The 15,951-nt window shown below is 36.5% G+C and overlaps 1 long non-coding RNA gene across 1 annotated transcript in view; it reads right to left on the reverse strand.

The window, feature by feature from the left end:
• Positions 1–998: 998 nt before the first annotated feature.
• Positions 999–15,951, reverse strand: part of LINC02174 (long intergenic non-protein coding RNA 2174) — a 36,081-nt gene continuing 21,128 nt past the window's right edge. The window contains exons 4-5 of the long non-coding RNA NR_147157.1: positions 2,374–2,468; positions 999–1,179 (exon numbers count right to left, since the gene is read on the reverse strand). This is a non-coding gene — a long non-coding RNA (long intergenic non-protein coding RNA 2174). The remainder of the gene's footprint in view (positions 1,180–2,373; positions 2,469–15,951) is intronic.

Genomic DNA, 15,951 nt, shown 5'->3' on the forward strand with positions numbered 1-15,951 from the left:
AATTATATCTTAAAATATGAATCTTCCATGCTACTAAAATGAAAATTTTAGGCTTATAAAATTTCAGAGCGTGGTATAAGGTTTTAAATTTGATAAATACACACAAACTATTACATGGCTCTAATTATCTTAAGGGAGCACCCACAGGGCCAAAGAATCTGGACAAAGGACCAGGACAGTCTCTCAGGCTCCCAACCTGGAAGGACCACATGCTTGGGGATTAATGCTCTGCAATCAAGTAAGTGAAGTCTGATGGTACAATAAGCACTAATCCAGGGCTTGAGAGAATTGGGCAAGACTGCCATGGCCTGTCTGTCCTCTGGACTGGACAATTTGGGCCTGGAGGCTGGAGGGAGGAGGACCTGGCAGCTGCCCAAGGGAAACAATGCTAAGTAGCAAATCTTTAAAAACGTCGTTACAGAGAGAGATCATGGAAGAAAGGAAAAAGTCGTATTTCTTATTACATTTAGCAGGACATCGTCCCTGCTTTCTGAATAAGAGGACCACATTTTCCGTTTGCATTAGACCTGGAAAATTAAGTAGCCAATCCTAAGTAACCAACAGCATTTGACCACAGTTTTAAAAAATCTAAGAAGAAATTGTTTTTCAAAGTGCCAGCTATTGATTTACTGGGCGTCATTCTCATAATCCTAAAAACATTAATCTGTACCATGCACATTTGCTTAACATATTCACATATTTGTGATGGGGATAGGAGAGTCATCTAAGAGGGGAATTAGAGAAAGAAAAAGTCAGTTCTATACTCATTTGCTGAGTGAGGAACTAAAATAAAATAGCGATGCTAGCCACCGCATGCTTTCAATTAAACAACAGTAAACATACAAAGTACATTATTTCATTCATTTAAAAATAAGAATCTGCTCATCATCCGATAGAATCTTTATCAGATCAACCAGATCCTTAAATGATGTGAACATTATGATCTCACAATACTAATTCAGGAATAAGCTGTCTCAGTATTTCCCATAGAATGTTTCTTGGTATGTTAAATGTTTTATTATAATTTGATTTTCTATTACATTTGAATAATACTGACAAGACGCCCTATTTGATGGCTATTTTCTCCTCTGTTCCTGACTTGAGACTCCTTGGCAGGCATGCTTGAGATTTATAGGTGAGATTCTCACTATCTGATGAACTCTTCCACTGGAGTGATATCTAAGGAATATAAAAAAGCATCCTCTACAAAACAAATGCAAACATTAGTCTCCTCATCTAACACCGTTAAATAAAGAGGTGTAGCATTTGCTATGGATAAGTCTTTTAATTGTATTGCATGTTTTAAAATTGCAGCTGAATATAATATAATTTTAGTAGCTCATTTCTCCTGAGGCATCAACATCATTTATCACTCCTGCTGCCATCTGGCGTGTCTGAACCATCATGATCAGCAGTTTATGTGGAAATTAAAACATTCAGTGGGTCGCTCTTCAATAATGCTCTGAGGTCAGGGACAATATTGCTAGCAGCAGTGAAGATGCATTTTTATTGCACACTTGAGAGGCATCCGTTTGACGTACTTTATAGCTTTCTAGGTTAAGACTAGCCAAGTTTCCCTTATTTGCACCGACCTGACATGGGGGTCATTCCATATAATAACTATCTAAGGATCATTCAGAGTAATTCCCCCTTGCTATCGTGCTTATGCAGCTACATTCAGATAAAAGCGCAGCAGCAGTAATAAAAGTCCCATTCTCTCTCTCTCTGATTGCTTGTTTGTTTTCTCTGTTAAAGAATTCAGAAACAGCAAGAAAATACCAACCACAGGACTAATTAACATAGTAGTCCTCTAAACAAACATATCTTTGCAATATTATTTGGTGATATTGTCAAAGATAACTTGTTTGAATTTAAATTGAATTCCCGTGATTGAGAATGTGAAGGACATATTTTAGTCCATAAGCTAAGTTCCACAATTATTGAGCTTCTCAGAATGGTGAGTTACTTAGGTCAAATGGACTAAATGCCCAAGTAATGTAAATGCCTAATCTTTTAAAGTGTTGCACTACAGAAATATCCCAATCTAGAAGAAACTGTTTCTTTGCCATCAGGAAGATTATGACTTAACATTTTTTAAACGATAAAAAAATACAGTAATGTCATTCCTTCCCCAGAAAATGAATGTTTGCCGAAGTGAAAGGAAAACGTGCAAATTTCTTCTCTTGGTTATTCACTCAGTCTTCTGGTTTTTATTTTATCTGCCCAACATCACTACACAACATACACACTTGTACATACACACACACACACACACACACAGAACACCAGTCCCGTTCATGAATACAGTCAGCAGACATTAAAACAGAGATGTTACCATAGAAAATATGGAACCTCCATGGAAACAATACCCACATGTGCTCTGTATTTAAGAACCAGTACTTTTGACAGTACTGAGTTTGTTGTGGTATATTTCAACGTCAGGAAAACTTCAGAGAGGAAGTAAGTCTCTATAAAAAATGATGGAAAAGGAGAGATTTGTATCCATTATATATGTACTCATACTCATCCTAAAAAAACTAATAATTCACAAAGATTCTCTCTTATATTTCCTTAAACTTTTATACATTTTATGTTTAGATCTATAGTCTTCACAATTTAACTTTCGTACAAGGTTTGAGGTTTAGTTTAAAGGTTTTTGAGTATTTAGCTTTGGAAGGGTTTTTAAAATTTTCCTCCTAATGCTCAAATGTTCCAACATGATTTGTTGAAAAGGCCCTACCTCCTCCATTGAATTAATTTTATGGTTTTGTAATTCTGTCAAAAGTCATTTGGCCCTACTAGTGTGACTCTCTTTCAGAATAGAATATAAGAATTTCTGTTCTGTTCCATTGATCTCTGTATCGATCCTCCACCAAAATCAGTCACACAGCTTTTAATATTGTACCTTTACAGTAAGTCCTAAAATAAGATTAGTGTGACTTTTTCAGCTTTATTCTTCTTTTTCAAAATTGTTTTGACAATTTTAGTTCTTCCATTTCCCTTCCCTTCCTCCCTCCTCCGCTCCCCTCCCCTTCCCTTTTTTGTTGCCTAGGCTAGAGTGCAGTAACATGATCTCTGCTCACTCCAACCTCCGCCTTCCGGGTTCGAGTGATTATCCTGCCTCAGCCTCCCAAGTAGCTGGGACTACAGGCACCTGCCACCACACCAGGCTAGTTTTTTGTGTATTTTTACTAGAGATGGTGTTTCACCATGTTGGCCAGACTGGTTTGGAACTCCTGACCTCAAGTGATCTGCCCACCTCAGCTTCCCAAAGTGCTGAGATTACAGGCGTGAGCCACCATGCCCGGCCTAGTTCTTTCCGTTTCTATATACATTTTAAAACCAACTTATATATATATATACATATAATCCAGCTAGGACTTTTGATAGGAATATTGTTAAACTTGTAGATAAATTTGGGGAGCATTAATACTTTTACTATGCGGATTTTCCAATCCATGAATTTGATATACCTCCATTTATTTAGGTCTTTTTAAAATTATAACATTACCATAGTTTTTAGTATACTGATCCTGTACATGTTTACAGATTAGTATTTAAGTATTTTAAATTTTTGGACCAATTATTAATGGTATTGTGTACTTTATTTTTACTTTCTGTTTTTTATTGCCATAATAGAGAATTTTGATTGAATTTCATATATTGATCTTGTATCTGTAATGTTGTTAAATTCATTAATTAGCTCTAGAAGATACTTTTTCTTATGTAAATTCTGCTGGATTTTCTACATGGACAATCAAATTATCTACACATTGGGACAGGGTCGTTTTCTCTTTTCCAATCTGTATGTCTTTCATTTCCTCTTTTTGCCTTACTGAACTGGCTAGGGTTACCATCACTGTGCTGAATAGAAGAAGTCAAAGCAGACATTCTTTCCTTGTTTCCAGTTTTAGGGGTAAAGCATACAATCTTACACCATAAAGAATGATGTTATCTGTGTTTTTTTTGTAGATGTTGAGGATAAAGTTGAAAATACTACCTTCTGTTGTTTGTTGAGAATTTTTATCAGGAGCGACGTAGAGTTTTTCCAAATATTTCTTCTATATTAATTGTAATGATCATTTTTTCCTTCTTTAGACTATTATTGAGGTGAATTATATTAATTTACTTTTTAATCTGGAACAAGTTTTGCATTCTCTGAATAAACCACACTTAGTCCCAATGTATTTTGTATATAATGCAATGTCGATTTTCTAATATTTTTTTGAAATTTTTTGAAGGTATCATTATGAAGGATATCGTCAGTGTTTTTCTTTTTTCTTTCTTCTTTCATTTTTTTTTGTACTGCCTTCGTCTAGTTTTGTTATAAGAGTAAAAATGGCTTTATAAAATGAGTTGGAAAGGGTACTACTCCCTTTTTTTATCTTCTGGAAGAAATTTGTTAGAAGTGATACTAATTATTTTGTAATATTTGGTAACATTCACCAGTAAAACTATTTGACACTGGAGACTATAGAGGAACTTTTAATTACTAACTTAATTTTGTTAATAAATCTAAGACTATTCCACTTATCTGTTTTATCGTGGATGAATTATAGTAGTTTATCGTTTTCAAAGAACTGCTTAATTTCAGTTATATCATCTGATTTTTATCTGAAAATGTGATTTGTAGTATTCCCTTGTTATACTTTTAGTGCTTGTATGATCTATAGTGATATCTCCTTTTTCATTCTTGATATTGGTCATTTTTTTACTCTCTTTTTTTTATTTGTAAGTATAAATTTTTATAGATTTCTCAGAGAATCAGCTTTTAGTTTGACTGATTTTTTTCATTGATTTTTCTGTCTTCATTTCATTAATGACTGTCATGATTTTTATTATCTTTTTTATTACATTTACTTTGATGTATTTTGTTAGTTTTCTAGTTTATTGTGGTGGAAGCTTAGAGTATTGAGTTGAGACCTTGTTCCTTTCTAACTTAAGTATTTAGCGCAATAAATTTTTCCTCTAGTGCTCACTTTCACTTAGTCCCATAGATCTTGATATGTTGTACTTTCATTATCATTCAGTTCAATAAATACATGTTTTACTACTCTAGAGACTCCCTGTTTGACCCAAAAATATTTAAACATTTATTAATATCCAGGATGTCAGAGATTTTTTTTATTACCTTTTTGTTATTTCCTTTCAGTTTCAACTCTTTATGATTAGAGAACATATTGGTATTGTTTTAATTATTTAAAATAGTTGAAGTTTATTTTATGACTCATAGTATGGTCTATCTTGATAAATGTCTCCTGCAGTTATGAAGAGAATATTTATTGTCTTGTTCTTCAGCAGAGTGTTTTATAAATATTTAGAATCCATTGGTTGATGATGTTTTTCAGTTTTTTTATATTTGTGTTGAATTTTTGCCTAGTGGCTTTACCAATTACTGAATAAATGGTGTGGAAGTTCCTAACCAAAATTATACATTTGTCTATTTATTCTTTCAGGTCTATCAGTTGTGATTCTTTATTTATGTATTTATTTATTTATTTATTTTGATATGGAGTCTCACTCTGTCACCCAGGCTGGAGTGCAGTGACATGACCTCGGCTCACTGCAGCCTCCACCTCCCGGGATCAAGTGATTCTCCTGCCTCAGCCTCCCAAGTAGCTGGGATTACAGGCACCTGCCACCATGCCTGGCTAATATTGTAATTCTAGTAGAAATGCAGTTTCACCATGTTGGTTAGGCTGGTCTTAAAATCCTGGCCTTAGGTGATCCACCCACCTCGGCCTCCAAAGTGCTGGGATTACAGGCGTGAGCCTCCGCACCTGGCTTGCTTCATTTATTTTAGAGTGGTATGGTTTGGTGCATATTAAAGATTGTTATATCTTCTTGGTGAATTGACTCTCTTATCAATATGTAACCTCTTTTTTCACCCCGATGCTTCTTTTGCTCTGAAGTGTACTTTATCTGATGTCAATATTGCCATTCCAACTTTTTTTCTTAGCGTTTGTATAGTATATAATTTTTCATAGCCTTTAACCTTTAAATCTGAAGTAAAGTTATTTTGGCCATCATAAAGTTGTCATCATTTTTATTCTCTTCTGCCAATCTTTGTCTTTTTTATTGATGGGCTTAGGCTTTTTACAACCAACATAATAATTGATATAATTTGTCTGCCATTTTATTATTTGCTTCCTGTGTCTTCCCCCTTTTTTTCTTCTTATTTCTCCTTTCTTGTCTTTCTGTGAGTTACATGAATGTGTTTTATTCATGTTAAACAGTAGTTTAGTACTGAGTATCGTTTTTTATATTTTTAAAATGGTTATTCTAGGGATTGCATATGCATGCATAGTTTATGTCAATTCACTAGCATCAATGTTTTATCATTTTAAGTAAAATGTAACCATTATTTAGCTCCCCATACTGGTCCAGTCTGAAAAGATCAGATTACTGAAGGAAAGAAGGAAAGACAAGACTTAGCTCAGAGGCACCCCAGAGATAGTTGACCCCGTCTATTTAGTGGGGGTTGGGATGAAAGTTAGGTTCTGCCAATGGCCTCTGCTGCTGTAGCACATGCTAGAGTGGAGACAGAGCATGGCTATTTTCATGGTGTTGCCTGGAGCAGATGTAGCTAAAGGTTTTCTACCCAACTGGCCTACCAATTTTGTTCTCCTTTGGCTAGAGAAAGCAGTCTTTTTGTGGGATTATTTCTTTTATCTACTAACATTTATAAGTTGTGGCCTTTTCTAACACTCAGGTCAAAATACATATGAGGCAAGAAAAAAATTAGAGAATTCACTACCAGGTTAACCAAGGTCCCTAGTCAATCTGCCTTATTTTCTTCACTTTTCAGAGCTCTCTGGTGGGTAACTTATGTGTCTTATCCTAAAAGTTTTGTTGGGATTAGCAGAAGGAATAAAATGGAATGCACCACATTTTGTCTGGAACTGAAATTTCATGCTTTGATCATAATCTTCAAGTATTATTTCAAAATTGCAAGAAAATTAATATGGTAGTTTAAAATGGATAGACAGTTGATATTAGGTTAAACAGAGGTAAAATATGGGCTACTCAGCATTCAGGCTTTTGAGGGACTAGTCTCTTCAAGACGGCAGATAGGAGGCAGTGTTATACCTCTCCCACTTGGAAGGACAGAATAGTGGGCAGAGATTCACACTGTGAATATATTTTTCCCAAGAACCATCACAGGAACTTACCAGAAAAACTGAAAGAACCCACAGACCCTTTGAAAGAAGTAGCAGGCTACAGTCTACTTCTTAAGATAGGCAAAAAACTATAAGTTTCCAGAGTGTGAAGGGGTAAACCTGCCTCTGAGCACACATTCCCCACTGGGAAATATGAAAATCCAGACCATGGGAGAAGAACTCAATCCTACCCAAAGCTGGAACTGATTTAGGGAGTGGCAGGAAATATAAAAGTAGAAGCAGCAGCATGAAGTGCCTTGTAGGCATTCCCAGTCTCCAGTGCAAGACCAGGGAAGCCATTCCTGATTCTGTCTCACAGGAGTCCTTGCAGAAGGCAGCCAGTGAACTCAGGGAGAAGTTGCAGAGTGAAAGAAGCTTCCAGCTGAATTTTGTGATATAATTTCGAGTGGGGACAAATTTTCTTTAATAGAACCGTGGGGTAAGCAGGAAGTACTGCAGATATGCACACAGGAGCCAGGCACCTGGCCTTATGAGCAAATGGGAAGGTATATGATTTGAAAACCATGCTTGCTATTTGCATGGAACCCTGAGGAAGGTCTGATTCCTGTCTGCTGGCTGCCTGGATCTACACCTGGCACTTTTAGCTGAGCACTGAAGGAACAAGATCAGCCTTGCCAACTGCATGGGAGCCAGGTGAGGCTTACTGCTGCCGGCTACTCTTCAATCCCTTTGTGAACTCTTGTGCACAGCAGAGACAGTTATACTGCCTCTGCAACATTACCCCAGTGGCGTGAGAACCAGCCCTTATCTCCCACAGTGGCCTCCCACATCAGACCCTGCCCAAGGAGAGTCTGAGCTGAGATCCGCAAAACTCTGTCCCTACCTGGTGGTATTTCTCCACCCACCCTGGTAGCTTAACACAAAGGACATAAGCTTTTAGGCGATTTATGGCCCCACCCATCACCTGAGAAACCAGAATACTTCCCATGGGCACCTTATGGCAAGCTCATATCCCACTGCTACTACTGCAGCTGGTGCTCTTGCAAACACCACATCCTGGCTGGAAACCAACCAACTCAGGCCATTACAGCACCTCTCCATGGAATAACACTGCTCCTAGGAAGGAGAGAACAGCTGTGGTATCTTAGCTAATACCACTGCCTGCAACATCCTGGCTAGCCAGAGGTCCTGAATCTGTTCAGGTGACAAATTCACTACTAGTATAACCAGCATTCAAGAAAGCCAGCATACTAAGCCTATCTACAACCAAGAACTCTCACAGAATCTACATTACTCCCCTGCCACTTCCATCAGAGCAGGTGCCGGTAGCCACTGATGGGAGACTTGAAAACGGTCACATCACTGGATCCCTTGCAGACATTCCCGAGCAACAGCCTGGAGTTTGGTAGACCCATTGGATGGCTAGACCCAGAAGAGCAATAATAATCACTGCAGTTGTCTCTCAGGAAGTCCCGTTCCTAGGAGAAAGGGGAGAGCACCACATTCAGGGAACACCCTGTGAGACAAAAGAATCTGAATGACAGGCTTTGAGTCCCAGATCTTTCCACTGGTGAGATGTTTCTTACAGCAGAAGCACAATCACAGTGCACCTCTACCCCAATAGGAAGGCAACCTCTGGGATCGTGAAGAGCCTTGGAGCAGGAGTCCTTGTTCCCCCCGGTACACCACTGCAGACATACCTGGGGTTTCTCCCAGCTCTCCCAGTCTCTGCTATCTTCAAGAGGTACACCTCACAAGTAAGGACTTACATAAACTTAAGGTAAAGAGGTGAAAAAAGATATTCCATGCAAATGGACTGAAAGTGAGCAGGAGTAGTTACTCTTATATCAGATAAAACAGACTTGAAAGCAACAACAGTAAAAGAGGCAAAGAAGAACATTATATAATGGTAAAAGGGTTAGTCCAACAGGAAAATATCACAATCCTAAAATATAAGCACCTAACACTGGAGCTCCCAAATATATAAAACAATTACTACTAGACCTAAGAAATGAGATAGACGACAACACAATCATAATAGGGGACTTCAATATCCATTAACAGCACTAGACAGGCCATCAAGTCAGAATGTCAACAAAGAAGCAATGGACTTAAACTATATCCTAGAACAAATGCACTTAACAGATATTTGCAGAACATTCTTCCCCAAAACTGCAGAACATAAATTCTTCTCACCAGCACATGGAAGATTCTCCAAGGTAGACCATATGATAGGCTATAAAAAAAGTATCAATAAATTTAAGAAACTAGAAATCATATCAAGTATCCTCTCAGACCACAGTGGAATATATATGAAAATCAGCGACAAAGGAACCTTCAAAAGTACACAAATACATAGAAATTAAATAATCTGCCTTTGAATGACCTTTAGGTTAACAATAAAATCAAAATGGAAATTAAAAAATATTATTTGAACTGAATGATAATAGTGACATCACTTATCAAAACCTCTTGGATACAGCAAAAGAAGCGCTAAGAGGAAATTTCATAACGTTAAATGCCTACATCAAAAAGTCTAAAACAGCACAAAGAGACAACCTAATATCATACCTCAAGGAACTAGAGAAACAAGAACAAACAATCCAAATCCAGAAGAAAAGAAGTAACAAAAATCAGAACAGAACTAAATGAAATTGAAACAACAGCAACAACAACAAAATATATATAAAAGATAAATAAAAGAAAAAGCTAGTTCTTTGAAAAGATTAACAAAATTGATGGATCATTAGTGAAATTAACCAAGAAAGGAAGAGTGTAGATACAAATAAGCTCAATTAGAAATAAATCTGGAGACATTACAAGCAATACCACAGAAATACAAAAGATAATTCAAGGCTACTATGAACATCTTCACATGCACAAACTAGAAAATGTAGAGGAAATGGAAAAATTCCTGGAAATATACAACCCTCCTAGATTAAATCTGACAAAAAATAGAAATTCTGAACAGTCCAGTAAAATGTAACAAGATTGAAAGAGCAATTAAACAATTGCCAACAAAAAAGTCCATTACCAGATGGACTCACAACCGAATTATATCAGACATTCAAAGAAGAATTGGTACCAGTTTTACTGAAACTATTACAAAAGATAGATAAAGAGGTAATCTTCCCTAAATTCCTCCCTATATGAAGCCAGTATCACCCTAATACCAAAAGAAGGAAAGGACATAACAGCAACAACAACAACAAAAACTACAGAGTAATATCCCTGATGAACATAGATGCAAAAATCCTCAACAAAATACTGGCTAACTGAATCCAACAGCATTATGATCAAGTTGGTTTCATACCAGGGATGCAGAAATGGCTTAACATAGGCAAGTCAATAAATGTGATACATCCCATAAACAGAATTAAAAAAAAATCATATGATCATCTCAACAGGTGCAGAAAAAGCACTGGATAAAATTCTAGTACTCCTTTATGATAAAAGCCCTCAACAAAACAGGAATAGTGGAACTTACCTCAAAATAATAAATGCCATATATGGTAAATCCCACAGCCAACATCATACTAAATGGGGAAAAGTTGAAAGCTTTATCATTTTAAGTAAAATGTAACCATTATTTAGCTCCCTGAGAACTAGAAAAAGACAAGGATGCCATTTTCATCACTTCTATTCAATATACTACTGGAAGACCTGGCCAGAGCAAACAGACAAGAGAAAAAACAAAGAGCATCCAAACTGGAAAAAGAGGAAGTCAAACTGTCACTATTCACTGATGATATGAACTTATACCTAGAAAACCCTAAAGACTCATCCCAAAAGCTCCTATATCAGATAAACAAATTCAGTAAAGTCTCAGGATACAAAATCAATGTACACAAATCAGTAGCACTGCTATATACCAACAATGACCAAGTTGAGAATAAAATCAAGAACTGAGTCTCTTCTATAACAACTGAAAAAAAAATACTTAGGAATATACTTAACCAAGGAGGTGAAAGATCTCTAAAAGAAAAACTACAAAATACCACTGAAAAAAAATCATAAATGACAGAAATGAATGGAAACACATCCTATGCCCATGAATGGGTAGAAACAATGTTGAGAAAATGACCATACTGCCAGAAGCAATCTACAGATTGAATACAATTCCTATCAAAATACTAACATCATTCTTCAAAGAACTAGGAATGATGTCAGAGTACGTGTAGCAGTAAGTTTTTGAAAACCACTAAATTAACAGTGAGCACCTTTTAGATGATCAAGGCTTGAGAAAGAATAATTGAACTTTTGAGCTTAAGCCTCTTAGGTGGATTGTGCAATACCAGTAGAAGTACCAATTGAGCAGACTGCTATCTGGGTGGCCTCTCAGAAGCCTGAACTCAGACTGGCATGACTGATACCTAGGGTGGAAATGATTGGAAAGAGATTAAGGATCCCTACAACTTAAGTGCTTGAATACCCAAAAGACAAAGCTAGAGAAGCTGAATGTTCTAGGTCCAAACATCAAACCAGGAAACGTCACTAGAAATAATTCAGAAGCAGGACAAATGTAGAAATAAATTCTGAGGCAGAGAGGAAGGGAATAAAAAGAAGGGGCACCAAAGGGGAAGTCGGCACATCTACCACACAGAGAACCTTACAATTGCCTGTGGTTTATTTGGTATATGGATAAATTGGTTTACTTCAGATGCTTAAAGTCATGATACAATTTGTGCAGTTTTGATAAAACAGTATTACAAGGAAAGCACAGCCTTCCAAGATAGGCTTTGGTTGATTATTTTACATGGAAGAAAATCCAGAAAAATCCCTATTCAAAGTTAAAATGCACATATAGATGTACATACACTCTGAAAATAAATATTATAAATTTTAAAAACAGATAATATGTTTTTGCTCTTCTAAGTGAGTGCATGTTTCTTTAAAAAACTACACAGAAAAAAGACAGTAAAAGCACTTACACAGTTGATAGAAATTTTGGAAACTAATTCCCTCAAATGATGACTATATTACTGTAGCTAACTTTCAAAGAGTGACCTTGTTGAAGAAAATTGTCTTTTATTGCCATTATCATAATTACACAGTGGTAATATTTTGTAAATTTTAATTACAGTGATAAAAAATCCTTATAATTGGGGTGATTTATTTTTTATTATTTGAATGCTATTAAGCTTTAACACTATTTCAAGTTTTTTATATACTGATATAAAATATTCCAGAATATCAGTATAGCTTCTTTTAACTTTATTAGCTATTAAAATGTTTGAGAATTAATTATATAAAAGCTGTCAAAATGAAAATTCTTATGTTTTAAGAATGCGACATATTTCCTATTATTAAGACATATCTCAAATCTCTTTTCTGGAAAGAGTTTTGTGCACTTGAATCAGTGTACTGTTTTCTTTTCTTATTCAAATGCATATTTCTACAAAAGTGGTGTTAACACTTTATATATTAAGCAATTTTCACCAGAAAGCTGACAGAAGCATGAGACAACATATTATCTATTAAGATATTGATCTGTTAGAGAATTCTAGATTGCTATTCCTAAAATATTTAACTGAATAGAACCTTTTTCACATACTATAAAGATGTTTACAATGATATACTTGGACTCTATTCAAATGTGATATCACACACAGAGTTTCTGATCAATGTTTTTAAGGGGCAGTACCACACCATACAACCTATTAGTTATTATACCTTAAAAGTCTATACATGGTGCAAAAAAAATCAAAAAATCAAACGTTACTCTTTTGCCTCTGTGGTTGTCTTTCTTTTTTCCAATTTGTCTTTTAATTCTCTCATAATCACACCCATTCTGTACCGTAACACAAAGACTGTAGTATAGTCTGGCAGATCTCATTTGAATCTTTACTTTCTCCTACTTACCACAGGCAATGACATTGACACCACATTAAGAGTTTTTACTCTTTGTGTGTTGGGTTTTTGTTTGTGTGTTGGGTTTTTGATTTGTTTGTCTCTTTATCCATTCCCAGTAGGCAGATTGAGTTGGAATATAATTAATGTCATAATATTTAACAACAGAGGGCAGTTTTAAATTGGTTCCTTAAAAGAGGGGTGCCTCACCCCCCCACCCCCCACACAATGCAGTGTTCCTAAAGAGCCGCCTTACTAAAGTCTCACAGAATTTAAGTAAGTCTCAACTGCGGGAGAAGAGTAAGCAATTGTACCCTGACTTACTTAAGCTTCTGATGCTGGTGGGCCAGTCACGTCTTCTGACAGGAAATAAAAAAAAAAAAAAGAAACCCAGAGACAGCCGAAGTGATACTTGTGTACTTACCTTGGACCTGACTGGCCATTTACCATGAATGGAGGAACCTGGTCTTTACTACACGGCAGAGTTAGGTATGAATCTAATCCTAGTATCTGCAAGTGATAGCCCAGTAGATCTTGGAAACACACATATGCACACACATACACACACACACACAAACACACACACGTATACTTACTTACTCTATGGTAAAGATGGTAAAACTGAGGTGATGGGGGTGGATAATCTCAACTTGCATTATTAATCAATTATGATAAATATTGAAAGTAAAACTTTATGTTTAATATTCAATGAATTATTACACTAAAGGAAAGACAATGTGAGTGGTCTTTTATAAGCTTTTACAAATTGTACTTTTCTATTTATAGTTCACAATTTTGTAATGTCTTTTTCCTTCTTCTCAATTACTCATTACATCTACAGGTTCCTAGGCAAAGGCTGAAGTAGAACCCTGCATTCTCTCCCAGCCCTTCTCATCAACCTCCCATTGCATCTTACCAAGAGGAGCCCCATGTGCCTATGTTGAGCCTCTCCCTATATACTGCCTCCGCTACAAACAGATACAACTTTGGCCCTCCTCTAACCAAGAAAGAATTGAAAACATTTCACTAGCCTACTCTTGGGGAAAGAGACAGTGGGGAAGAAGCCCATGTATGCTCTAGAACTGGAACTGGGTAATTATCCATCTAATTAGGAATTTCCAAGGTCCCATGCATCTGGAACATGATGTATAGGTGGGGCTAGCTCTAATGGGGACATCTCCTTAGCCTCATGGATTTCACATCCCATGGAGAAGGACATTGCCACAGTGGGGGTCATAGTAGAGAATTTAAAACTCAAGTGCTACGTTTAAAGGCCATACTACTCATGCTGCAAGAAAGAAAAAATAACTTGTGTGTATGTGTGTGTGTTAAGTAGCAATAACTGCTTTAAAATAAAAATAGTAATCCAAAAGTGGTAGGTAATTCATCATTTTTGGCACAAGACTTTCCTAAAAACAGACCCTGAGACAAAAATTTTGGGCAAATAACTGATTAAATGATTGCACTTAGGAGAAATTGGTAAAGAAGCAGAAGAAGAAAGAAAGAGACCAACAATAATGTGACTTTAGGTGAAATCGTGCTCTTTGCCTAGTTGTATAGGGAGCTCTGGAGCATAAATTCCATCATAGATTTTGTTGTGCCTTGTGGCAGGGAGCTGGGATTTCATGACCCTTCACCAGTTAGCTTTTGGCAATGGGCTATCCTAGAGCCTAGCAGACACATACACCTCTTTAGGAAAAACTGCCATAGTAGTCCCAGCATAATTTCTTTTAGAATCTCCATAAAAGCTAGAAAATGGGCCTGTGAAGGAAGCCTGGAGATCTGGGAGGAGCATAGAACACAGCTCTATAGAAGTGAAGCCAGGATGCAGTTGACAAATGAGATTACAGTAAAAAGATGAGGTTCAGATGAGATTTAAATGACTGTGTCCATCCTCATCACCATTGTCATCATTATTGTCATCAGACTTGGTGGAAGCAAATGAAGAATTCTGAAAAATATAATTATTTAACCTTTTGACTTTTTTTTTTTTTTTGAGACAGAGTCTCACTCTGTCACCCAGTCTAAAGTACAGTGGCACAGTCTCAGCTCACTGCAACCTCTGCCTCCCAGGTTCAAGCAATTCTTCTGCCTCAGCCTCCCGAGTAGCTGGAACTACAGGAGTGCATCACCACGCCTGGCAAATTTTTGTATTTTTAGTAGAGACGGGATGTCACCATATTGGCCAGGCTGGTCTGGAACTCCTGAACTCATGATCTGCCCTCTTCGGTCTCTCAAAGTTCTGGGATTACAGGCGTGAGCCACCATGCCCAGCTTGACTCTTTTATAATAACACTTAGCTTAAAACAGAAACACATTGCAGAGCTGTACAAAAATATTTTCTTTCATTATATTCTTATTCTATAAGCCTTTATCTATTTTGTTATTTTAACTTTTTAAGCTTTTTTTTGTTAAAAACTAAGATACAAACACACATATTAGCCGAGGCTTACACAGTATCAGGATCCTCAATATTACTATCTTCAACTTCCACATCTTCTCCCACTAGAAGTTCTTCAGGGGCAATAACAGGCATGGAACTGTCATCTCCTATGATAGCAATGCCTTCTTCTGGAATACCTCCTGAAGGACCTGCCTCAGGCTGTTTCATAGTTCATTTATATTTTAATAAGTAGAAGGAGCACACTCTAAATTAACGATAAAAACACAGCATAGTAAATATTAGGCGATGGGAATTTTTTAGCTCCATTGTAGTCTTATGGGACCACCATTCTATATGCCATCCATCATTGACCAGAATGGTGTTACGCAGCTTATGGCTGTATTTTCTATGGCCCTTTACTTTTTAGATATATTTAGTCAAAAAAGAAAAGCAGCAGATAGGAGAGAAGTTTATACAAAACATAACACCAATTGTAGAATCTTCAATGACAGTTTAAAATGCCTTAGCAAGGTGAAAACAATATAATAAACACAGTATCTTCTGAACTAATAAAATTGGAACTGAGAAAGCAAATTA

Source organism: Homo sapiens, chromosome 4 (assembly GCF_000001405.40).
Source record: "Homo sapiens chromosome 4, GRCh38.p14 Primary Assembly".
NCBI classification, from domain to species: Eukaryota; Metazoa; Chordata; class Mammalia; order Primates; family Hominidae; genus Homo; species Homo sapiens.